The sequence below is a fragment of the Homo sapiens genome, chromosome 9, assembly GCF_000001405.40.
Source record: "Homo sapiens chromosome 9, GRCh38.p14 Primary Assembly".
Classification (NCBI taxonomy): domain Eukaryota; kingdom Metazoa; phylum Chordata; class Mammalia; order Primates; family Hominidae; genus Homo; species Homo sapiens.
Window position 1 is genome coordinate 66,130,935 of NC_000009.12, and position 25,896 is coordinate 66,156,830.

General features: G+C 38.8%; 2 pseudogenes across 6 annotated transcripts in view, besides 4 other annotated features; both read right to left on the reverse strand.

The window, feature by feature from the left end:
• The window catches only part of ANKRD20A3P (ankyrin repeat domain 20 family member A3, pseudogene), a 59,242-nt pseudogene extending 36,989 nt beyond the window's left edge, over positions 1–22,253 (reverse strand). For 4 of the 6 annotated variants that reach the window (XR_001746296.3, XR_001746295.3, XR_007061553.1 and 1 more), the window contains exons 1-8: positions 21,718–22,250; positions 18,291–18,405; positions 17,955–18,128; positions 13,965–14,071; positions 12,781–12,918; positions 10,128–10,183; positions 3,550–3,580; positions 794–863 (exon numbers count right to left, since the gene is read on the reverse strand). The product of XR_001746296.3 is annotated as an ankyrin repeat domain 20 family member A3, pseudogene, transcript variant X2 (transcript). Of the gene's footprint in view, positions 1–793; positions 864–3,549; positions 3,581–10,127; positions 10,184–12,780; positions 12,919–13,964; positions 14,072–17,954; positions 18,129–18,290; positions 18,406–21,717 lie in introns of all 6 variants that reach the window. The other 2 variants (XR_007061555.1, XR_007061556.1) reach the window with 2 other exon arrangements.
• RNU6-538P (RNA, U6 small nuclear 538, pseudogene) lies at positions 11,287–11,393 on the reverse strand (annotated as a pseudogene).
• Positions 22,175–22,224: a silencer, noted in NCBI's record as "silent region_19926". NCBI's record gives its function as "represses an Ori minimal core promoter by ATAC-STARR-seq in GM12878 lymphoblastoid cells {active_cell/tissue: GM12878}" and the evidence as "EXISTENCE:reporter gene assay evidence [ECO:0000049][PMID:35858748]".
• Positions 22,175–22,956: a biological region, named in NCBI's record as "H3K27ac-H3K4me1 hESC enhancer GRCh37_chr9:43133708-43134468".
• Positions 22,196–22,956: an enhancer, noted in NCBI's record as "H3K27ac-H3K4me1 hESC enhancer chr9:43133708-43134468 (GRCh37/hg19 assembly coordinates)". NCBI's record gives its function as "activates a minimal SCP1, AML or CMV promoter by ChIP-STARR-seq in primed H9 embryonic stem cells {active_cell/tissue: H9 hESC(primed)}" and the evidence as "EXISTENCE:reporter gene assay evidence [ECO:0000049][PMID:30033119]".
• Positions 22,957–23,717: an enhancer, noted in NCBI's record as "H3K27ac-H3K4me1 hESC enhancer chr9:43134469-43135229 (GRCh37/hg19 assembly coordinates)". NCBI's record gives its function as "activates a minimal SCP1, AML or CMV promoter by ChIP-STARR-seq in primed H9 embryonic stem cells {active_cell/tissue: H9 hESC(primed)}" and the evidence as "EXISTENCE:reporter gene assay evidence [ECO:0000049][PMID:30033119]".

Consider the following 25,896-nt stretch of genomic DNA (forward strand, 5'->3'; position numbering starts at 1 on the left):
CATGGACAACTCATAAACCACACAAAAATTCCTTTGCAATACACATTTTGAGAACATAAATTTAAATTTCTATATTTCCACAATTTATATTTTTAAATCAGATACGATGTTGCCCAGGCTGTTCTCAAACTCCTGGGTTCAAGCAATCTTCCTGCCTCAAATTCCCAAGTAGCAGGGACTACAGGTGTACACCACCACACTCAGTTATTTTTCTACAATTTTTATTTTTTTTTGTCTCACTACAGAACCAATAATATAAGTAGAAAAACAATCTCTCGTAAAAACAATATGATACCAAAATAATAAGTTTCCAAGAACAAAAGCTATATGCTATGTGCTGAATATTCTTGCCACTAAAAATCACCAGGAGGATCCCATGATTACTGCAAATAATTTGATCCACTGAAGATTTATACAGGCATAAATATTAAGAAAGTCACACTCGTATGATTTAAAAGTCAAAGTATTAGTATTTATCCAAATAAACCTTAAGCAAATTTCATATTTCCTCTATTGGAGAAAGCATTTCCTAATGTGATTTTCCTGTCACTACTAATTTTCCAGTTCATTTTTTTTCAGCTCCCACCCTGTCACAGTACTTATCAATCTTTGTTAGTTACCAAAGTTAAACACATTTTTTGAATCAACTAGCCATATGTATGTTTTTCTCTGACCAACTTTCCATTACCACCATAAAACAATGATAGGTAAACCACTGCTAAATTTGAAAAGTAAATACTATGCAAAAGTACATTCAGAGTGAGAAAATTAATTTTACAAGAGACCACTTTACCTTAGTAGCAACATTCAAGTCTTTGTCATCCGATGCAGGCAATGAATCCACACGCAGTTCATGGAAAATGCTTGAGAGCAAAAACACACAACGAAAATGAGCAAGTTGATTTCTTTACAATTTTTTTAACTGCCAGTTTATATCCAGCTTCCCCCTCAAAAAAGGAAACCATAATCTAGGGAAAGGTCAGCAATCTATATATTAAATAGTGATTCTTGATATAATTAAAATATGTCCTCTTCTAAAAATAGATTTTAGTTACCTATTTCTGCCTCCACTTGTCTAAATCTATAAAATATTCAATGAAAACTAACCTTGAGCTTTATAACAAATAGTGACAGTCAATAAATTGGCAGAGCCTGACAATGATTTGCCCTCACAAATTATCTGTCCTGAAGCTGAACTTAAAATTCAATTAATGGATGACATAAATTTTGTTACCTAAACTGGAAGAAAACTAACAACCTAAAACAAGGTAGAAAGATCCACTGTCTCTTTTCCATGATCTGTCTCTGGATAAAAGACTAATCTGCATCACTTCAATATGGCAGTCTTGATTCCTCAGCATGGAACCCACTTAGGAAGGTCCTATTGCTTTCCTTTGCCCTAAATCAGTACAGGAAAGCCCCTACAATATTTGAAATGTATGAAAGCTAAATGTACAGAAGTCAAATAACAAAGGTGTATGTTCTTATTGAGAATACTTTTCCCAGAAAGATTGAAATATTAACAATTATAAAATCCCATTATTTTCACCCTATAGGTCCTACCTTATTCAGGTCCACATAAACTAGCAAGCCCTTAAAACTTTTCATAGGCACTCAGACACCCAAGGAGAGAGACTGTCAGAAAAAAACAGAGTCCTGGTAGGTGTACCTCTATTTCCCTAAGTACTCTCTAAGTATCTGTCTTCCTATGGGCTCCCACTTCCAGATTCCACTTCTGCAGGGCTCCACAGAAGTCTCCAATCTTTAAATCTTCAGTCTATGAAAGCACAGATTCCTGAAAGGATGGCCTCAAATGACCAGGACTAGGAGCTCTCTATATCCCTGCTCCTGAAAAACAAGCTAACTGGAGTCTCCATCACCTGCCCCCAGCTAGACACACTACCAACTACCCAACTGAACTCCATGACTGATTTGCCAGCCAATCATGCCCCTGAACCAGCCCACATGGACATGGGAAGGACATCAGTGAATCGGGAAAAGAGGCAGAGGTGAGGAGACACCTGTACTGGGCCACAGATCTATGTAGTTCAGCAATCTCCAGCCCCTTAGTACTCCAGGGGCTCTAAGCCACCCCTTTCTAAGTCAGGATGGAAGTAGATGACACCACATTTCTATCTGCTGCAGACGCTCCTCCCAGTGTCTCAAAATGTTTTAGCATCTTTCAGTAAAAATCTTCAAGTTTGTCAGTCCTTGATTTAAAAAAAAGCAGCAAACTTTTTAGAGCTCCCTTGAACCTTCTATTTTAATGTGCCTTCGTAGATAATTCCCAACATCTTGTGTCCTTCATTTTTATAATTTATCTTTATCAAACTTGTCATAAACCCCAATATTTTGATCTCTTATAGAAGAGTCTGTACTCCTATCCAATCCAGTGTTGTTTATCTTCAAACTTGGACTTCCCCTGCTCATTCCATTCTTATCTACTTCCATTGGGTTCCCCAGCTAATTCCATTCTCATTCTACCCACAGACTCACTCCCGTTTGTATTATTAAAACACACGCCAATAGGATATAAAAAGAAGCAAGAGTACTGGGCTTTAACATGAGTTCAAATCTCATTTCTGCCAATTCCTATGTCTAAAAAAAAGCATCCTAAACTCTTTGAGCCTCACATTCTCTATCTAGAGAATCATTTGACCAGAATGTTCAACACAGGTAAAAATACTAGAAGGTATTTTAATTCATTCCAAGATTCCTTAAAATTCTGTAATTCTATGTCCTCTTGATTCTGTCTATAGAAAAACTTAGAATACATAGCCAGCAGAGTTTGAAAAAATAATAGAACAAAAGAAATACCAAGAAAAGCAGAGAAGAAAGTTTTAAAAAATGAAGGCAAGATTATAGAAAAGTCACGGAAAAAGCAACAAGACTAAAAAATGTATTATGGAAGTAAGCAGAAATACTTGCCTAAATGGAAAACCAAACTGGGAAGTCAAATAATTTGTCTCTAAGACTTGCCTAAACTTGCTTTTGTAAAACTTACACCCCTATGGCAAAGCTAAGTAAGATCTGCCCTAGAGCCTTTGATGGTAAAAATAAGATACTGGTTACCACTGAAATTGTCAAATTTATTAGGACAAACTCTTGGACTAACCACATTCTAATGATAAACTTAAATGAGAGTTCAAGGTATTTAAACTCTCATTAATTTAGACATTAATCAAATTAATCAATCTGACTAATCTGATTCAGACCTATACCTTGATCCAAGGGCTGCACAGATATCTGTCAATCTATGCTGAGGAGCAAGAGACAGGATTTGGAAGGCAGGCAGGCTGATGGTCAAACTGTAGGCCAGCTACTTTGTTAACTATGGGATCATGAGGCAATTAATCAGCTCTAATCCATAGTTGTTTATTTAATAAACAGTAGGTTATAGGAACACAGATGTTGTGATGGCTTTATGAGATGATAAACGCATAGAACATATTAGGATGTCTAGCCCAGAATACAACACTCAACAGATATTCGTTTCTTCCATCTATATTTTCTTAGTTAACATAATTTTTTAAATCTATAAAATCCTACCTGACTGCAGATTCATCAGAACTTCCAACATCTATTAAAGAAAAAGGTAAAATGCATTTTAAATCAATAACAAATGTACAGAATATTAAAAGCATAAGAATGCACAGTGATGCATCCCTCTAATCCAAACTACTTGGGAGGCTGAGGCAGGAGGATCACTTGAGGAGCCCAGAAGTTTGAGACCAGCTTGGGAAACATAGTAAGACTCTACCTTCATAAAAAAATTGTGCACACTTGTATGTATGCTTTAGATCCTGTTTTTTGTTGTTGTTGTTTTTGTTTTGTTTTGGTTTGGTTTTTTAAAGCATAAGACTGATGCTTTGTTACAAAGCATTCCTTTGAGAGCATGCCTGGGACCTTATTAGAATTAACATTCGTTATACATATTGGTAGGTAATTAATGCAGTAAGAACTCTTCCCTTTGTATTTATTAGATGCAAAGAAGAATAAATTTATTAAAATTTGGTATCTACAAGTGAACTGCAGTATGCAAGTCATCTTAGCCAAACCCTATGAGGTTGAGTAAAAATGGTATTGTTAGCAGAACAGGTGTGATGAGTCACCAGTGTCAAAGAGCATGATTTCTGGACCAAAATATGAGGCGCCATTAAAACAGAGTACACAGTAGTACCCCTTATCCACTATACGTGCAGAAAGACATACTTGACACATTTTTCTCTACTGTCACACCACAGCAACAATCATCAACAAAGAAGGCTTCTGTGACCAAATGTGTGGAGGGTTTTTCCCCACCAACAAGCAAGCAATCATTCCTGCTGATGACACAATTCAATTCTCACACCTTATCTGCTGGTAACATCAGATTCAATTTAATTTATAAATTAAACTTTAGCATAGATATGTATGTATAGGGAAAAACAGTTTGTGATTCAGTACTATTCATGGTTTCATGCATCCACTTGGGGGTCTTGGAATGTATCTCCCACAGTTAAGGGGGAGCTACTGCACTTATTTTGTTATAACACAACACAGCCTCTCTAGCTCTTCAGTTCAAACTGCTCAGTTTAGAATAAAACACCCTAACACCAGATGTCAGCAAAACATAGGAATCCGACCAGAAACAGGAATCCTTGCAAAGACTTTCCAGCCGCTAGTGGAAAAGAGCTCAAAAGAGATCAATGTATTACTCTGGCTACTACTCTTTGGGGAAGGTGCTGGGTGGTTTACTTAGTTGTAGCTATTTGCTCTGCCCTACATATAGCAAGGCCCAAATTCACCTGCCATTTTACCTCCCACAGAAAAACCACTGGAAAGATCACTCCTTTAAGAGCTTATACGCTAGGAACCACACCTCACATTCAGAGAGAAGCTGAAGAAACACCAGGGAGGTGTGGCAGGCTGCTGGACAGTACTATATGATGTGAAAAATATATAGAAAGAAAACCATCAATGCCCTTTTACTACCAGAATGTTCCAGTGCTTGCCCTTCTCCCTAGTAGGGGAAAAAAATTCTTTTTCACCTCACAGAAAGCAAAACTCTCTTGCTATCCCTCATGACAGAATCTAGTTGTAGGTGAGTCACATCATCATAATACAGGCTGTTGTCAACCTCATCCCTCAAAGGAAGAGGATCAGTGAGGAACCTATGTACTTACCTATAGCATTCACTGTCTGGTCTTATTTCCAACCGAAGGTAAGTATGAAAGACTTTGTGATTCCAGTTTTATAAAGTACAACCCCTTGCACTTGTCCCCTTCCATTGCTAGAGAATCTATCTGGACCCACCTCACAGAGCAAGATGCTCCAGTTTGTGCTGTGTGGTACAGCATGGTGTCCTTTTCCTCAACCCTTTCTATTATGTGCACATATCTATACAAATCATGTTTTCTAAGTATGTAAAGCATATGTCATCAGAATATATCATTCTTTACAATGATAAAGAAGCAAAAGAAAAACAAAAGGACAAAGAACATCTTAAATGACTACATTCAACTGCCATGGAGCTTTAATTTTTTAACTATTCAAAAAGATATCCACTGTATTATTCCAACTATGTGACTCTTCTGAAAAAAGTAAAACTATGAAGACAGAGTAAACATCAATGGTTGCCACGAGTTACTAGGGAGAAAGGGAAAGATGAACAGGCATAGCACAGAGAATTTTTAGGGCTGTGAAACTGTTCTGTCGATAATATTACAGTAATAGATACATGTCATGTCATTATACACTTGTCCAAATTCACAGAACGTACAGCATCAAGAGTGAAGCCTGATGTAAACTATGAACTTTGAATGATTATAATGTGTCAATGTAAGTTCATCAGTTGTAACAAATGTACCACTCTCTGGTGGAAAATAGTAATAATGGGGGAGGCTATGCATGTGTGGGAGGCATGGGATATATGAGAAATCTCTGTACCTTCCTCTCAATTTTGCTGTGAACCTAAAACTGCTCTAAGAAATAAGGTTATTGATTTAAAAAAAGATATTCAGCTGGGCTCAGTGGCTCATGCCTGTCATCTCAGCACTTTGGGAGGCAAAGATGGGTGGATCACCTGAGGTCAGGAGTTCAAGACCGGCCTGGCCAACATGGCAAAACCTCGTCTCTAATAAAAATACAAAAATTAGCTGGGCATGGTGGCTGGCACCTGTAATTTCAGCTACTCAGGAGGCTGAGGCAGGAGAATCGCTTGAGCCTAGAAGGTGGAGGTTGCAGTTAACTGAGATCGCACCACTGCACTGCAGCCTGGGAGACAGAGTGAGACTCCATCTCAAAAAACAAAAAGATATTCACTGTCTATGCATCCCAGGATCTCCAGAACAATTACAATAAATAAATAAATAAATAAATAAATAAATAAATGGCTGGGGGCAGTGGCTCATGCCTGTAATCCCAGCACTTTGAGAGGCCGAGGTAGGTGGATCACCTGAGGTCAGGAGTTCGAGACCAGCCTGACTAACATGGTGAAACCCCATCTCTACTAAATACAAAAAATTAGCCAGGCATGATTGTGCATGCCTGTAGTTCCAGGTACCTAGGAGGCTGAGGCAGGAGAATCATTTGAAACTGGGAGGTGGAGGTTGCAATGAGCCAAGATTATGTCATTGTACTGCAGCCTGGGCAACAAGAGCAAAACTCCGTCTCAAAAAAATAAGTAAATAAAATAAAAAATAAAGATATTCACTGAACCTGTTACTATGATATATTTAAGCAAGACACGGTGACCCTAAAAATTAGAGATCATTGAAGACCAAAGTAACAACATGTGGTCATTACTTCTCAAATTGAACTATATAAAATATATAAAATAAATAAATTTAATTGCATGCTTAGGTAAGAAAATATTGATAAAAATAATTGAATATTTTATCTTATTTCATAATTCTAAACAGGGATTTAGCACAATATGAAAACTAGACTATTCATGTAATCAAAATAAAAGACAATTTTTATTCTAATGTTAACTCAGAAATTATTTTGCTTATTTAATTTAACAATTTTACTGAAAGGTTAATGAGATAAATAGGACAGATTATAATTACCTAACATTGCTATGGTAACTTATATACAAATAGCTGTTCATCACCAAAAGTCAAAAAAGTAACAAGCACTGCAACTTAAGATGGATTATACAACAGAAATTAGTACCAAGTTACCTTATCTTATAATATTATGTTATTAAAATGAAATTTTAAAACAACACCAAAAATTAAGTTGGGGTTACAAGTGTTGTGCAGAAAAGATTTCATATAGCAGGCAAGAGGCTGCCATCCTTAGAAAGGCCTGCATGCAAGGCTGGCCCTTGGCTGGTGTTTAGGAAATTGGAAATGGGAGGGTTTCCACCATTCCCTGAGAAGAGTGGCTCACTGTGTCTAAAGTGCTTATAGAAACAGTGTATTTACTCTAAACAGCTGCTTTCCTTGTAAGAGTCTGGAATTTGGGTACATGTGAGGGAGAGTAACCTCCATAGAAAAACTTGGGCACTTAGTCTCTAATGAAACTCTGGTACTGGTAGACATCACTGCACATATGTTGTCAAAATGTGAGCCTGGGAGAATTAAGCAGATCCCGGGAACTCCACAGGACAGAACTCCTGGAGGCTTGTGCCTTGTTTCCTCCAGAATTGACCACATGCACCTTTTTCCTCTACTAATTTTGCTTGTCCCCTTCCTTGTTATCAATTAAAGATCTGAGTATGACTATTTGTTGAGTCCTGTGAGTCCTTCTAATGAACCACCAAACCTGGGGTGGTCTTGGGAAACCTTGACACAAATTCATTGTGTAAGATTTGTATTAAGTTGATATGATACGTGTAACTGTAATCAGATGGTTATTTCACAGAATAACTTTACCTAATCTGTTTTTCTTTTCTTTTTTTGCCTTGATATTTGACTTGGAGATTCTCGTATTTCTATATCTATCCAATTGAATAAAGCCATAGAAGGAATAAATGAAAAAATAATGTCAGAAAATAATGTGAAATGAGCAGCAATCCTCTTTTATCTGAATAAAAAATAGAGAATCTGGGTGATTGACAATATGTTCTACAATATGAATGTTTCTAGAAAAAAAATGAAAAAGTGGTCAATTTTCTGCAACTCAACTGGGCTTCATTCCTTTTTATAATAATTTTGAAGGCCAGGTGCAGTGGCTCACACTTGTAAATCCGAGCATTTTGGGAGGTTGAGGCAGGAGGATCACTTGAGCCCGGAAGTTCCAGACCGGCCTCGGCAATATAGTGAGACCTCATCTATTAAACAAACAAACAAACAAAAATCCCTTAAAAAGAAAATTAGCCAAGTGTGGTAGTGCATGCCTGTAGTCCAAGCTACTTGGGAGGCTAAGGTGAAAGGATCATTTAAGGCCAGCAAGCAGAAGTTGCAGTGAGCCAAGATGACACCACTGCACACCAGTACTGACAACAGAGGGAGACCCTGTATTAAAAATAAATAAACAAATAAATAATTGTGTATCAGGCCAGATGTAACCACACAAAACTGTAGTCCCAGCTACTCAGGAGGATGAAGTAGGAGGACTGCTTGAGCCCAGGAGTTCAAGGCTACAGTGAGCTATGATTGCACCAATGAATAGACACTGTATTCTAGCCTAGGCAACATAGAGAGACCCCATCTCCTATGATAATAATAATTGATTAATTGTGCATCATTCAAGTAAATTGTGTAACTGGAGAAAAACATATGACTATTGAATATACTATTATAGTCTACTACTGACCATAGAGTTCCTGTTTACTTGCTTCTAATCTTTTTCTTCATTTCTCATAAAACTGAAAACATGATTTAAACCCATTAAAGGCAGTTCATCACAAAACAAGTCAAAAAGTCAAAAGAATTGCATCCAAACAGTAGGATGCGTTATCCACCGCTCTCTGTGAACAGTTGGATTTGGTCATTAAGAATCAGCAGGACTTTTAACTTTGTGTCTGTGTGCACAGGTGTGTGCACATGTGCACGTGTGTATGTGTATGTATGTAAACTATGACAGATAAAATCATTTTGCTTGTGTACGAATATGTAATATAACTTGTGCTTCTCACAAAGGAATTGCTTTTCCGTCTCCTGTGCTCAGTAGCTGTCTTCAAAAAATAATCTCCTATTTGTATGGGTGCACACTGGTTCAGTTCTACAGTTCTTATTGCCATTTATTTATGGTACCAGAAAGGGATTGCTGAGTTCCTGGTTCTAAAGATAGTTACTTTCTTAGTGACACAAATCAATATGTAATACAGTTCACCCTTGAACAGCAAGGGTTTCAACTGCAGGGATTCACTTATATGCAGATTTTCTTCTGCCTCTGCAACAGAGAGACAGCAAGATCCACCTCTCCTCTTCCTCCTCAGCCTAATCAACCTGAAGATCATGAAGACCTTTGTCAGGACTACTTATGCTTTATGAAAAGTCAATATGTTTCTCCTGATGATTTCCTTTCTAACAGCTTCATTTCTCTAGCTTATTTTATTGTGCGAACACAGTATATAATAATGCAGCAAAAACAAAATAGGTGTTCATCAACTGTTTATGTTATCAGGAAGGCTTCCAGTCAATTGTGGGCTATTAGTAGCTAAGGTGAAGGAATCAAAAGTTATACTCAGATTTTCAACTGCACAGGGATCAGAGTCCCTCACCCCCACATTATTCATGGGTCAACTGTAGTTATTTGTTTACTAAATATAAACAATTTATTATAAAAATGAAATCGAAGATCCATTTGTATAACAAGTCCAATTTGTTATAATGTGACTATAGAGGAAACATACAACATACTAACTTAAAAATCTTTTTTCTTATTTATGCAAAAATATTATATAGGATTTTAGGGATCATAATTAAATAAATGAATGTTTTCAGACAATAATGTTTGAGATTGTAAATTAGCTACAACTACCTTCTTAAATAAATCTGAATTTCAAACTAAAGAAGTTAAATTTTAAAAATTAATTTACATATGTATATACATATATACACATTCAATTTACACATATTTTTAAACTGGTCTTTTTTGACTGAAACTACCTTAATCTTACATCTTACTTTGTATTTTCTTATCAAGAGTAGGACCACCAAGACAAGTAAGAAATTCACAATCAGAAGTCTTACCTGATTTCTCCTTTTTAAGTATCTTCTTTTTATGTTCCAAAATTTGTTGTTGAATTCTATGTATACAAAAGTAATAAATAAAATTGCCATTTTTATAATGAAATAAAAAATATTCACCAAACATATTAAATTCCAAAACACTTTCAAGCAATATCAGACCTAATATCAGAATTTTAATGTCCCATACACTTCAAATTTGTAAACCTTACAAGCTTATTAAGCTTATAATTAAAGAAGAAAAGAAAGTGAAGTACTCATAAATGGAGGAAGCACAGCTCAGTAAATGAACTCTAGTTAGCTGGATATCATGCAAAGTGTCCTGCACTCAGAGTAAGTCCTTGCTCTGTAACCAAAATACCTCGCTCTGTAGGTATTTTGTCTTCAGACAAGTTGCTTCTCTTAGGCTCCATGGTTTCTTCTAAAAAACAAGGATTCTGCTACCTTACTTCACTAGGTTGTTTGGAAGATGTAATGAGATTACATGTTTATATGTTCAGAGAAATAGTAAAGCAATGGAATAATTTATTCTTGAACTTTATTGCTGAAACCATTTTGGAATCCCAAATAATGCTCGGTGTGTGTTTTTCTGTAAGTTCTAATACTCAAATGTTGCAGTTTTCAGAAAATGTTATTAAGTGCTAATTTTGGTTATTACTTGTATTCATTGTGGCTTGTAATTCAGGGCATTTTACCTAATTCATAACTTATTACTAAATTTCTATATATATAAATTTAGTGAGCTCATCACTGAGCTCATCAATCACACCAAGGGCAGAAAACTAATAGGTGTCAAAACCTGGCTTGGACAACTACCACTCCTTCTCTACCTCCTCAAACTCTGAGCCAGCAGATCTGTGCTTGGCTGCTGGATCTCCATGGTCCTCTCCAACTAACAGACAAGACAAAACCCTGCTTTGATTGTTTTTCAGTTCCATGAAGGAAATACAAGTTGACATTTTCTCATTTCCAAGACATGTACTAACAACATGTAACATCCCCTTATTACTCAGCTCTGTTCCCATTTCAGAGATCACCATACATCAATAGTTTCATAGCGATAATCACAATTTCAATATTGCGTGTCACCTGTTTTGGTTTTGCTCACACTGCTTCCTTGGAGCTACTCAACAAATAGTCAAATGGCCTACCTGGGACTAGGCAAAATATGGAATGTTTTCTGAATTTGTGTGCCATCCCTAGGCAGTAGCCATGCTTATCTGCTCTGTATTGATCCAATTTTAAAATATGTGCTGTTGAAATAAGTACAAAGCCCTGTTTGATACATGGATATTCATGAGTCATGGATGAGGCTTAGCTCTATTAAATCCAACTCACTTACTTCAGATTCAGAGAATTTTATTGAATGGCTTCCTGTGAGGTAGAATTTTAAAATATATTGAAAACTTGAGGAAGAGCTGCAAGTAGCCCAGGAGATTTTCATGATTATAGAGACACATTACTTGAGGGGCCAACTGCAAGCTGGTTCCCACTACTCAGTGGAAAGATAACATGGAACATTCCGCTATCTAACCAAAGCTGCTGCACAGGATATAAAAAAGCCTCAAGGTACAGATCTGATAGCAAAAGAGACAGGGAACTCTGATCTCTTCCTGCAACATTATTTGAACATCCCTGACTATTGAGAACAATCCCAACTAATATTGGTTAAAGGAAAGACAAACATGGCTCTCAAAGGATAACATACCACGAAGGCCTAGGCAAAGTCTAGCTAAGACGTGGGCTCCAAATAAGGTTTTTAGTGTAGGGTGAGCATCAACTTGCTCAATATTTGTGTGGATAAAGCTAGGAGGCCTAGCTGCCAGAGCAGGGTGCTGGGAACAATGACTGAGCACAAGTACATAAACTAATAAACACCGTAGCTTTGACCTCTATATATGAATCACCATGAAAACTGAGGGGTCTGAATCAGTGAAGGCATCCTGGTGGCAAAGGTCAATCATTATCAGATTGCAGGACCAGTTATAATGGCAATAATACAGCAAGTGAGTCCATGGAAACAACAGAATGATTAGAATGGCCTTTTTTCCCCTTCTTCTGACTTGTAAAGAAAGATTGCCTTCCTTGGACTTAGGAAACCCCTTAGCTTCTTGGAAAATTCAAAGAAGGAAGACACAGGAGAGAGCCCCAGGGGACAATACATGATTTTCTGTTAAACTGGACATTACAAGACTCAATAACTAATTAGAAAAGTCAGGCCAGGCATGGTGGCTAGCACTTTCAGAGGCCGAGGCAGGGGGATTACTTGACCTCAAAAGTTCAAGACCAGCCAGGGCAACAGAGTGAGACCTTGTCTCTACAAAAAAAAAAAAAAAAAAAAAAAAGGAAAGGAAAGGAAAAGAAATCAAAGACATGGCTCTTTTTATCCCATGCATGGGGATTATACTTAGAATAAAATGAATAACATTGAGATCCCTAGGGATAAATGTCTCAAAAATCCAGAAAAAATCTCGCACTCTACTTCTAACTAATCTAGACTTCTGCTTGATTTCTGGCTAAAAGGTAGACTAACTCTTCGCTATTTCAAACTATCTGAACCAAACTATGAACTCTCACCTAATGCATAAGATGGAGTAGTTGCAATTATTTTAAACTTCAATTTAGCATTAACTGGCCTTTTAACATAAACACTTACTTTGTCAAATGATGAGAAATAGCATAATCTTCTGCATCTCGTCCACACATGTCTTGAGCGAAGACATCAATATTTTGCTTAAGAAGGATATTGACAATACCTGGTGAGTCATAGTATACAGCAAGCATGAGAGCTGACCTAAAACAACAAAGAAATAACTCCACTCAAGAACTTTAATAAAGACTTTTTTAAAAAGCTAGTTTGATACACTTTACCAGTTTAATATCCGCCTGTCAGTATAGATGTAATAACTATTTGCATGTACTAGCTTGGGTCTATAAGCATCTAGGGTGCTCAAGTGTTCATCTTTGTAAATTGTCACCAAGGCTAAAAGAAAGGGACAACAGGGAAGCCTCTTGTCCCACTGGGGTAAGACATAATACAAGTTGCTAACTTATAGTCCTTTGATGGCCAAGAAACTGTGCTGAGGTCACTTATCTAAAGTAGGCAAAGATTTAGATGAAGATTTCCCCATTGCTTTCCTAGTCAAATCAGCTAGGGGTCAGATAAGAGTTATCTGCAGGCTGAAAACAACAACAACAACAATAATAATAATGACAATGCTAGTAGTCATAAACTAAAAGTCCACACTTTGAAAATGAATAAAACTTGTCAGGTGCAGTGTCTCATGCCTGTAATCCCAGCACTTTGGGAAGCCAAGGAGAGCAGATCACGAGGTCAAGAGATCAAGACCATCCTGGCCAACATGGTGAAATCCCATCTCTACTAAAAATACAAAAATTAGCTGGGCATGGTGGCGTGCACCTGTAGTCCCAGCTACTTGGGAGGTCGAGGCAGGAGAATCGCTTGAACCTGGGAGGTGGAGAATGCAGTGAGCTGAGATCACACCACTGCACTCCAGCCTGGCAACAGAGCAAGACTCCATCTCAAAAAAAAAAAAAATTAATAAAACTAATACAAAACCCTTTAGCTAATAAAAGATTACAGTACGAAAAACATCTGATTATAAATACCAAACTCTGTATATTATAAGAGAAGATGAATCCTACTATATACTATTCTTTATGTTACTCAGTCCAAATATTTGCTTGTCTACCTGATTATTCATGGTGATATTTTTCATTATATGCCAATAATTATGTTAATCTTCTTATTAATATTTCTGACTTGAGTGACCACTCTAGAATACTCAGGTTTTATTTTTAAAAAAAGAACTACTGTACCGTCTCAGCCTATCAACGGCATGTGAACTTGCTTTCCTTTTCAATAAAAATTCCACCATTTTCTCTTTCTTGCAAATTATAGCAAATAAAAGTGGGGTATTATTGTCCTATAAAACAGCAGAAAAAATTAATAATTCACAAAATTACATATTTCTCAACTGAACTGAAAATCTTCTCCAGGATGCTTTGAACTTCAACATACAATATAGAAAGGAAGTAAATGAAAAGCAGTCCCTTCATTCTCACTCCTCTGTGCTTTCTGATGTGCTGTGCTTTGCCTTGCAAACAACCCTCCTCTGTCTCCCTGGATTAACTGTGGTCATTGCCAAAACTCACTTTAAACATTTACTAGTCCCAAGAATCCTTGCTTTGATCACAGCACTTATCATGGTACATTGTAGTCATTTCATTGTTTCCCACTGAAACCAAGAGCTTCTTGAGGCAAGGGCCTAAAACCCTAAGACACAGTAGCAAATATTTTAAGTTTTTTACATTAATTAATGATCTAAATTACTATCTCTAAAGCAGTGTCTCTTAAACTATATTCCAAAGAATATTTGCTTTATCAGAAGTATTATACCGCAAGAGAAAGACTCCATGACCATCTGTATTTGAGAAGTATTACAAAACTGTATTTTATGTCCAATAATCAAGAAATCTCTTTAATTTCACCTAATCCCCTTTCACAATACTATTTGTGGCAAACATTAACATTTGAGGAATTAAGAGTTTCAGAGATACAGTTGCCAGAGCTTCCCAATACAGGTGGCAGTTCCCTCTGGGTGGTACAAACTTGCTTGATTCACTTTTATCAATGGTGTCAGGATCCCAGATGCCAATGTCAGGCACTCCTGCTCCAAATGGGTCACCATGGAAATGAGCTTTGAATTAAGAGAGATTGGCTTCAAATGCATTTATTTTCCTTATTATTAAATAGTCCATGGGTTTTTCCCCTAATACAAGAGAAGAGATTTTTATCTTTACTGTTAGAAAGCTCAGTATATTCTGTGTAAGAGAGATAGGTTTAAAAAACTTAAGAACAAATATTTTAAAAACCAAAACTCAGTAAGAAATACTATTCTCAATTATAATGGTAATCCCGGGACCCTAGTGCAGCTCTACTTTTTAAATCCATTTTTACTGGCTTCCACTTAAATGGCTACTTAAAATTATTTTTTATTTTAGACAAAATATAAATCAGAAATAAAAACATAATGGCTTATCAATAGAAGTTCTCATACTGATCCACATGGATTATTTCTGGCATAATACAAGCCAATAAGTCACTTGCATCCTTAAGGAAGAGCACTGAGGAGAAGGATGTACTGTCTGCAATATTCATAAATTATCCAACTATAACCAGGAATAACCTAAAAAGGCTTCTAGGCATTCTTATGGGCAGAGAATTATTTGTGGTATATATAAAGAAAAGAGTTAAAAACTTCTAAACTCTAAAATTCAACTCCATAACTGAGGGATTTATATACTCTATAGACTATATATTATAAACAAATACATGCTGACTTAAAAACCTTGAAATTTTTATCAAAATATACTATAACATAGGAGTTGTAAACTCAGATACTTACAAGGACAAAGGAAGGTTGCCTGAGTAAGGGAAGTACTAAGGTGGGCACAGTAGCAAACTGGAGAATACCTGCCTTCTATAAAGGGGCAACTTCTGCACAGCAGACCAAAGAATGATAGAAACTCAGGGGACACCAGATTTGATTTTTTAGGATATGCCTGAAGTCCACATTTCTTCACGAGTCTTCTAAATTTTACATGTTGATTCAACTTATAGAGGCAAACAAACAAATCTGTGTACCACATTAGAATACAGCCCTTGTTTTTTTTATATTCGCTATTAATGTGTTACTAAATGGTTGTGTATAATCCAAGTATTTTCATGTAAAATATTTTCTTTCTCTGGTATCATATGTTCTACCAAAAAATCAGGCTCTCATATATAATAAAAATTGCTAAAAAGACTCACAATACCTGCTTCAAGAATTTTTCCAACATGTATTCATTTAAAATATGTTTGTATATAATTTTCCCAGATTGTTAACCAAATAGATAATTGGTTCACAAGACTGCTAAAACTAAATTATTAAAAGAATTCCTATCTATATTCTTATTAACTTCATGGATTTCAGTGTTTAAAACTGACATTTTGGGTATGCTAAAGTTCTATAAACTTAACAAACATACTGAGATAGTTCATAACAAAACTTCAACTAAAAAAAATAGTTTAGGATTTGCTACTATTCTAATTGAGAAAGCCAAACTTGTAATGAACATTTGTTGACACATAATCACCTGCGTGGTGACAAAGGGACATGAAATCATGAAAGGGTCAGCCTCTACCTATTGAAAGATTACTCATAAGCAAATTTCTGAAGACTCTCTGAATGGTAGTGAATGATTCATGGTGGGAAGCAAAACATGTTATTCTGTAAGCTGAGAGATATTGCCAATGATATTACCTTTCACTTCCCAGTCACAGATGTAGAGAAAGACAGATAAGTCAGGCTAATATAATTGAAAAGGAGAACTTTGAAGGAAGTGGCAACTATCAAATGCCAACTCTTCTAGAGATTTCTTACATTTTTGAGATACAGAAATTTATATATTGCACTTATCTATTCTGGGGTTTTTAATCAAGAGTGTATCCCAACCTTGAAGGTTTTTTGTTTTTTTGTGGGGTTTTTTTTTGGCTATTATTGTTGTTAGAGACAAGAGTCTCACTATGTTGCTCAAGCTGGATTCAAACTCTTAGGCTCAAGCTGGGACTACAGGAATACACCACTGTGCCCAGCTTCAAGAAAACATTTTTAAACACGTTCAGGCCTTAATAGGTCTATTACATCAAAATCTTCAGGGGAAAGCCTACAATTGTAGATTTTTAACAAAATGTCCTCAGGTCACTGTAATGCACAATTCTGAGAATCAGTGCAGCAGACAATCACTTCAGTCTCACCTCTCACCCACATGGCTAATTCCTTTATCAGTTGGAGATGTGGCCAAAAAGAGAAAAGAGTAAGAGATAGTGTCATTTATTAAAACTCCAGTTAAGTTTCCTGGCTACGGGTAGAACAGGGACAAGTAAACTCAAAATCCCACTTGATTTTGCTATTTACAAGCTCCTTATCTCCCACCTTCCCACTAAGACATTCTAGATTTGAGAGGAGGCTTTAGGTTCTTATCTAAGTGGCTGTTTCTGCCAGGATGAGCAATAAGTCAGTTAATAATTTGTTCCACCTTCTGCTGAAGTGTTTCTCACTTCGTCACCACATATTCACTGCCAATCTGGTTTCCTCAGAGTCCTCCTAAAATTCATCTCTAGGCAAGTTGCAATTCATTCTTTTTCAAACCAAAAATTATTAGACCCAAAGCTAAACAGCACCTTGTCTCAACACATAAAACAAACTTAAAAACAAAAAAAAACCTCTTCCTGGCATTTTCCCTCATTATCTAATATCCAAGTGACCTGCATATTTCTGATTGCTCTCTTTCTCCCCTCCCATTTTTCCCTCTTAAGCCTTGCCACTGAAAGATGATACATCAGTTTTTCAGAAAATTAGCAGCAACAGCAACATGTCCCTTTATTGTAAGTTGCTTTAGTTTTGTTTGAGTTTTAAGATAAAGCCTAATTCCGGGGAATATTTTCTTTCCTGTGTTGTTTTACACTAATTAAGAAAAAAAAAAAAAAAAGAATAAGCCTGTGTAGAAAAAAAGTTGAAAAGGTTTTACCTTTAACAAATTCACAAATATTTTCCAAAGTGCATTTTATAAAGCTGTGCCCTTTAATGCTTCTTTAAAAATATCAATATTTAAAATAAAATCTTAGACAATTAAGTTATTTCAAAATAACTTAATTTGTATTTGCATTCAGGGAATGGTTGAGCTTCCAAATATAAAAAATTGACCCTTACCTATGTCAATGTTAAAACAAATATTTTGGAAAGAAAGTTGATTGACCTATACCTTGTCCAGTGCTTCAATATGTGCACCATGGGAAAGCAGTTTTTCTGCCAGTGAGGTGCTCTCACTATACACGGCATAATGGAGAGCAGTGTTGCCGTAGATATCCTTAAGGTTTGGATTGGCGCCATGTTCCAGCAGAATAACGGCACAAGCCTCTTCCTGGCAATGGACAGCCTGTCCGTGTTAGACCAAGAAACAGATTGTAAATTCCAAGAATTCAAAATACACATTCCACAGGTTTCACCAACTAGTTATATGTAAATGAGATCAATTTATTTTAATTCTATATATGTAAATCAAATCCATGTCATGCTAAAAGAGTTGGCTCTAATATACCTGTATCAAAGGCGTTCTGTTTTCTTTGTCACAGACATCAATCTGGCATTTTCTGTTAACCAGGAGAGTGACCACTTGCACATGGCCACTGGCACAGGCCAAGTGTAGAGCAGTTCTATGAGAGTAAGAGGATTTTTTAAGAAACTGTAGTACAATATCTCAAAACATACAATCATTCATGTAATGTAAAAACTGAATAGCATGTTTTTCCTCTGCCTTCAAAACAAATAAATTTTTTGAAGAAAGTACAATACTTACTAGCTCTTATTGCTCACTGCCTTAATGAAAACAGCAGCCTATTTGAGTAGAAAGAGCTCAGTCTTTGGATTCGGTTCAACTAGGGCTTGAGTCCTACTTTAAGCCTTGACACTTACCAACTATTGCTTAGCCTTTCTGTACCTCAACTTCCTCATTAATAAAGATGACAATAGTAGCTATCTCATAGGACACCATCGTGATGCTTAAATGAGAAGCTATGTAAAGTATGTAGAACAGTTCCTACGACAACTCAATAATTGTAAGATTTTTGTTTTTTGAGACAAAGTCTCACTCTTTTGCCCAGGCTGGAGTGCAATGGTGTAACTATACCTGGAACTCCTGGGTCAAATGATCCTCCATCCCCAGCCTCCTGAGTAGCTGGGACTACAGATGAGCACCAGCATGCCCAGCTATTTATTTAAAAATTTTTGTAGAGTAAGAATCTCACTTTGTTGCCCAGGCTGGTCTCAAACTCCTGGCATCAAGCAATCCTCTCACCCCAGCCTCCCAAAGTTCTGGGATTACAGGTGTGAGCCACTGCACCCAGCCAGATATTATAATTATTACTATTACTACTACTTAACAAAACCATTTTAATTAGGTAGAATGATACAATTATACCTACTTTGCAAGATGACTTAACGAGTAGGTCACATTTTAACACCTCTGACATTGGAATGCCACTTATAATTCATGATTTGTTATAACTATAATTGGTAGCATTTTAAAAATTATCTTATTGATATATAAAATATCGGGGCATCACGCAATCCATGAGACCTTACATTAAGTAGAATATGGTATACTCAGCAGGTCTAGGGCAGTTCTAGGCATGTAACTGAAACTTAAATACATTTTAGTTCTTAAAGGTACTATGGGGAAAGAGCACTGAAATAACAATAATGCATTTTTTAAACAAATTAATTCTTTGATTTTCAAACAACTTGAAACCAAAGGAAACTCATGATTCAAATGAATACATATGGCTCATTGTATTCAATATTTATACTTAGAAAATATATGCAAATACGACTTTCCAATGATTAATATTAGTATTTAAGACTGATAAACTTTCGAAAGAGCAGTTAAAGGTTATCTTCTACTATTTTCTAACTTCAGAAATGCTTTTGTTTGAAAGGTGGGAGATAAAGTTTCAAGGAGATTAAGTCCCAATATTCCTATTTTAAATCTCTCAGCTTGTGCAGGCGGGGCAGGTAAACATGAAGTGTTTAAGGATGGACGGGTCCTGAGAGATGATAGAATATGTCTGCTACATAGCAGGTACTCAGGTTATGCTTGATCCATAAATGGAATGAAAGAATGGATAAATACAGTTGGGGAGTTCATTATTTTTAAATAAACTCCTATAAAGCAATATTTTTGCAATAGTAATTATTTATATGTGTTGTTTTATTTTTAAAGAACACAATTAAAATGAAATGATTATGTTTGCATAAATGGAATGAGTATATAAGCAAAACATATGTACATAATAAAATATATAGATAATAAAATCTGGAAACAGATAAAAACATTCCTTTTTTACTTCTGAAGAGGCTAAAAGCTCAAAGAAGATAACAACACACACAATAATGATAAAAAATAGAAAGTGAGAAATTATTTTCATCAGCGCAAGATTCATATTCCTCTCTTCCCAAGGATTAGTCCATTAATAATAAACTTTTACTAGAAGTTTTGTACTCACTGCAGCAATCACAGATAAGAAAAAGGAAAAAAACTTTACTTAAAATACAAATGCTCAGAAATTACAAATTTTATATTTTGTACATATTTTTGCTAAAACAAGACCATAGTATGTTTGTGTATGTATAATTTAACTAATTTTTTCTCCTTGCTAGCTATAACAAAATACATCTTTGCACATCAACGTACTTCTGTATCTACTGCCACCTTCAGTGGTCACATATTATTCCATCCTATGGATGCAACTGAAATTTATTTATAGGATCCATTCTATGGGTTCTCTTTAAAGTAAGTACTGTGAAAAATAAAGTGCATGTATCTTTATTTCCTAAGGGTATTTTAGTATAATGGAATTGGTGGGTAAAGGGCATACACATTTTTTAAATGTAGTACTTACCATTTTCAAATGAGTACTTTGAAAAGTAATCAGCAACTTCAAGCAGCAGTATAAAACATCCTCACAAATATTGTGGATAGAAAACTGTTTCATTCCTCTTTTAGTTTAAATTCTTATACCAGAAATGCGAAGGATTTTTTCCTATGTATATAAGTAACTTGTAGATCTGGAAAAAGGTACTTTGCCCACTTTTAGAGTGTTTGATGATTTGATTTGAAAGAATTTCCTGTAAAATGAAGAGGTACTTTTCATCTAATGTGTATATATAACTGATATATATAACATATTATATGTGTTATATATGTATACATATCAGTAATATATATATATCTTATGATATATAATAAACAACATAGGCCAGGCGCGGTGGCTCACACCTGTAATCCTAGCGCTTTGGGAGGCGGAGGCGGGCAGATGACTTGAGGTCAGGAGTTCGAGACCAGCCTGGCCAACGTGGTGAAACTAAATATACAAAAATTAGCCAGGCATGCTGGCACCTGCCTGCAATCCCAGCTACTTGGGAGGCTGAGGTAGGAAAATTGCTTGAACCCGGCAGGCAGAGGTTGCAGTGAGCCAAGATTGTGCCATTGGACACCAGCCTGGGCAAAGAAGCGAGACTCCGACTCAAAAAAAAAAAAAAAGAATATAATGAATTCCCTATAAAATGAAAACATACTTTTCATCTGAAAAAATATATATATATAATATAGTAAATATTTTTCAAGTAAGCTCTCTTATCTGAGAACTTTTCGCCCACTGAAACAACTCACGGTTATTTTTGATAGGGGAACAAGTACTCTCATTAGGCACCTCCTATAATGTATATAAACCATGTTTTAAACGTGTACGTTAAAAATAACAACGCTGTATATGCTTAACTTTGTGAGTTAAATCACTCAAATTCTCCAACTGCTCCAGCCAGGGAATTATGAGGGATGGAAAACAGATGAGAGTCCGTTTGGCTCCGCCGCTCCGAGGGTGCCCGGCGCCCTGCACGGCCCCGTCCCAGGGTCTGCGGGGAAGCCGGGCCTGGGGGCCCCCTCCCACCCCCGGCTGAGCCCCCGCTACCTGTGCTGCTTGTCCAGGGCGTCCAGGTCTCCGCTCCTGCGCGCCAGGCAGCGCTCCACCTCCGCGGCGTCGCCTTTGACAGCTGCCCTGTGGATCTTCTGCAGTTCGGAGTCCCGGATTCGGTATCCGGAACCCGTGTAGACGTGGTCTATGGAGCCCTGGGCCGTCTGGCCCCTGCGGCTCCCGAAGCCGAATAACTTCATATTGGTGACTTCTTCTCAGACCCCCAACCACCGGCTCTTGAGCGAGGGCAGCTCCCTGTCACCTTTTCACCACCCCCCTCCCCGACCCCGGCCGACCCAGCCCCAAATCCCCTATCCAACCCCAAAGCCCCGATCCAACCCCAACTCCGCTATTTCAAATCTATAATCTACTCCACAATCCGCGATCCAGCCCGGTCCACCACAGCCTTCAGCAGCGACACTCGCAGCCTCCGACCTCTCAGACCGAGTGAGCCTCGCAAAGCCGTTGGGCGCGCGCCTGCACGGCAGTTGCTGCCGGGCTCCCAGAAGACGCTCCCTGGCGGCGCGCGCCTGCACCGCGGTTGCTGCCGGGCTCCCGGAAGACGCTCCCTAGAGGCGCGCGCCAGCAGGTGGGGCTGCAGCTCCGGGCGTGCGCCGATGGGCTCGCCGGTTCTCCTGGGATCGCCCGGGCGGCCCCAGGATCGCAGGCGCGCAGCCAGCCCGGCCTGAGAAGGAGGGCCTGTCTGGCCTTGCAGCCCGCCCCGCTCCTCCTCGGAAGGGAGATACGGTGCTGGCAAGGGCACTCCGCGGCCACCTGAGTGGCTTCGCGGATTGGCTGAACGCTGAGGCTCTGGCCCTGAAATCTGTGTGGCTAGTGTCAGGTAGCTGGAGAGGGATGGAGGCAGAGTCAGGGGCTGCTCCTTCCCCCACCCGCCCTCACTGCTGCCAGTGCCACACGCGCGGTTTGCAGCTGCAGATCTGGCACTGGCGCAGGTTGGCGGAGCTTCCTTTGGATGGCCTCAGGGCCGCAGAGCGCACAGCCCACCTGGCCTCAAGGTCCGCTCCTCTTGGACATCTTTCTGGATCCTGGGCCCTGGCGCTGGGCACTCTGTGTCCACACGGATGAAACAGCGGCTGCTGGCGGGGCCGGTTGCCTGATTTTGCCGCCTGGGGGTCTGGCCTCAGGATCCACGCTACTGCGGGGCGGGCCTGGTCTGGAGTGTCCAGTCACTTGCTGCCGGTGCACCACGTCTAGACTGCAGCTGCGGCTCCGATGCCGGCGTGAGCTGGCGGGCCTGGTACCTGATGTCCTCAGGGTCAAGTGCATCGCCCTCCCACTTGAGAGGTTGCTCTGACTTGGCCTCCTCCAAGAACGCAGGGGCCGCCGGGACTGGCTCTTCGTGGTAACCGGGATGGTACCGAGCAGCAGGTTTTCACCCTGGTGCCACTGCTGTGCGGACTGCCTGACTTGGGCGCCCAGGCACCCGCCCCAGGGTCCGCGCGGCAGGTGTGCAGGTAGGGTGAGTGGCGCGGAGGGTTGGGGGTTGCTCCGTCATCTCTGCCCGTGTGCAACTTGCAGTTTTGCAGTTTTCTGCAGCAGCTGAGGCGCTGGCGCGGGAAGGCGGAGCTCCCCTGGATGGCGTCAGGTTTGCGGGCACAGAGCACAGCCCACCAGGCCTGAAGGTCCGCTCAGGGGCCATAGTGGTTGAGTTCTCTGTGGAACTGGGATGGGGTGAACAGCCAGTTCCCGTCCTTTGGCCGCCTGGCCAACTGCCAGACTTAACCGCTGCCGCCCAGGCATCTGTCTCTAGCGTTGCCACTACTTGGGTAGAAGTGGGGGTCGGGGTGGGGCGTGGAGCGTCACCGGTTGCCAAGCCAGCACTGTCTTTGCAACATATTCAGATGGCGGCGGGCAGCTCGGGCGCCAGCATGGGCTGGCGGGGCTCCCCTGGACGGCCCTCAGGTCGCTCACAGCATTGTCCCAGGACTTCCTCGGCCTGTGCCAGGTGGGCAAGGTACAGGGGTAGCTTCCAAGGCTTCTATCCCAACTCTACCTATTTCTACCTATTTTCTCTTGAGTTATTTTGCCTTTATCTCAGTTTTATTTGCAAAAATAGTATACGCAAAATACATCGAGTGAATGCACATCAGGCATATAGAAGATCTGGCAGAAACATGTTTTCTCCTGCTCATTTCCAGTCAGTATTTGAACACAGAGGCTTCCACGGTTTTGATTCTTTCCACAAAAGGTTAGTTTTGTCTGTTTTCACCATTTATGTAAGTGAAACTATAAATTATATAATTTTTATGTTCACTCACTAAACATGCTTGTGACACATCATTTTGCTCCTATTGATTATTCATTATTTTGTAATATTCAATTTTATGACTATACCACAGGTTTGAGGCCTTTGCTTGTTTTGTTTTTAATCCATTCCACTATTGATAGACACAAAAGCAGTTTCTGATTTGAGGCTATCATGAATAAACCTGCTACGAACAAATCAGATATACATATTTTTTTCTGTAATAATATTTTCACTTTTCTTGAGTTTAAGTACATAAGAGTGGATTTTCTGGGTTATAAAATAAGTATATATTTGGCATTGTATGAAATGGGGAGACATTTTCCTAAGTGGTTATGCCATCTTAAACTACAATGAAAATGAGAGAATCAGTTCCACTTTCCAACCAATACTTGATGCTGTCAGTTGTTTTAGTATTATCCATTCTTATGGGATATAACTGCTGAGTAGCTGTCTGCCTTCTCCCATAACACAGAAAATTGAGGGCCCAGAGGACAGTTTTATTTTCATATTTGACATCTTCTATTATTTTTTATAGAAGGATGATTTCAGTAGTAAAATTTTCTTTCAATTTTCTAGGTTGTCTCTGAATCTTACTGGGGTTCCTTGTCCTAAACCACATTCAGAAATTTTCACGACCGACTTCTTATCTTTGTCATACCAGGCCAATGAGGGACAGCATTCCTGAGACTTTTTAAGTACTTTGTGTGTGTGTGATGGTCTAATAATCATAGCCTTAAAACTTTCTGGCTGGGCATGGTGGCTCACACCTGTAATCCCAGCACTTCAAGAGGCCGAAGCGGGTGGATCACCTGAGGTCGGGAGTTCGAGACCAGCCTGACCAACGTGGAGAAACCCCAACTCTACTAAAAATAAAAAATTAGCTGAGCATGGTGGCACATGCCTGTAATCCCAGCTACTTGGGAGGCAGGAGCTACTTGGGCTGATGCAGGAGAATTGCTTGAACCCATGAAGTGGAGGTTGCAGTTAGCCAAGATCACACCATTGCACTCCAGCCTGGGCAACAAGAGTGAAATTCTGTCTCAAAAAAAAAAAAAAAAAAAAAAAAGAATCTCACACTTCTGGGAGACACTGAATTTGTGAATGTGTACAGCATATCACAATAACTTTTCTTTGAGACCAAGTCTCACTCTGCTGCCCAAGCTGGAGTGCAGTGGCCCATCTCAGCTCACTGCAACCTCTGCCTCCCGGATTCAAGCAATTCTCCTGTCTTGGCCTCCCGAGTAGCTGGGATTACAGGTGCTGCAACCATGCCTGGCTAATTTTTGTATTTTTAGTAGAGACAGGGTTTCACATATTGGCCAGGCTGGTCTCGAACTCCTCACCTCAGATGATCTACCCGCCTCGGCCTCTCGAAGTGCTGGAATTACAGGTGTGAGCCACCATGCCCAGCCAGAAAGTTTTAAGGCTATGATTATTAGACCATCACACAAAGTACTTAAAAAGTCTCAGGAATGCTGTCCCTCATTGGGACCACAACACCCAGATAATTTTTTTTTTTTGTAGAAAGAGAAGCCTTGCTATGTTGCCCAAGCTGGCCTCAAACTCCCACCCTCAAGAGATCTGCCCATCTCGACAACCAGAGTAACTGGTTCTACAGGAAAATACCACTATCCCATGATAATTATATTTTATTAAGTTTTATTTGCATAGACAGGAGGTCTTGCTATGTTGCCCAGGGTGGTCTCAGACTCCTGGACTTGAACAATTCTCCCATCTGTGCCATCTGTGCCTCCCAAAGTGCTCCCAAAGTGCTGACGCCACAGGCATAAGCCACTGCACCTGGCCCGACTTAAGATGTCTTTAATCTAGCATCCCATACTTCATATAATCAGGAAAAGCAGTAGTGTTTTTTTTTTTTTAATTACTTAGTATCTCAACAAGAATCA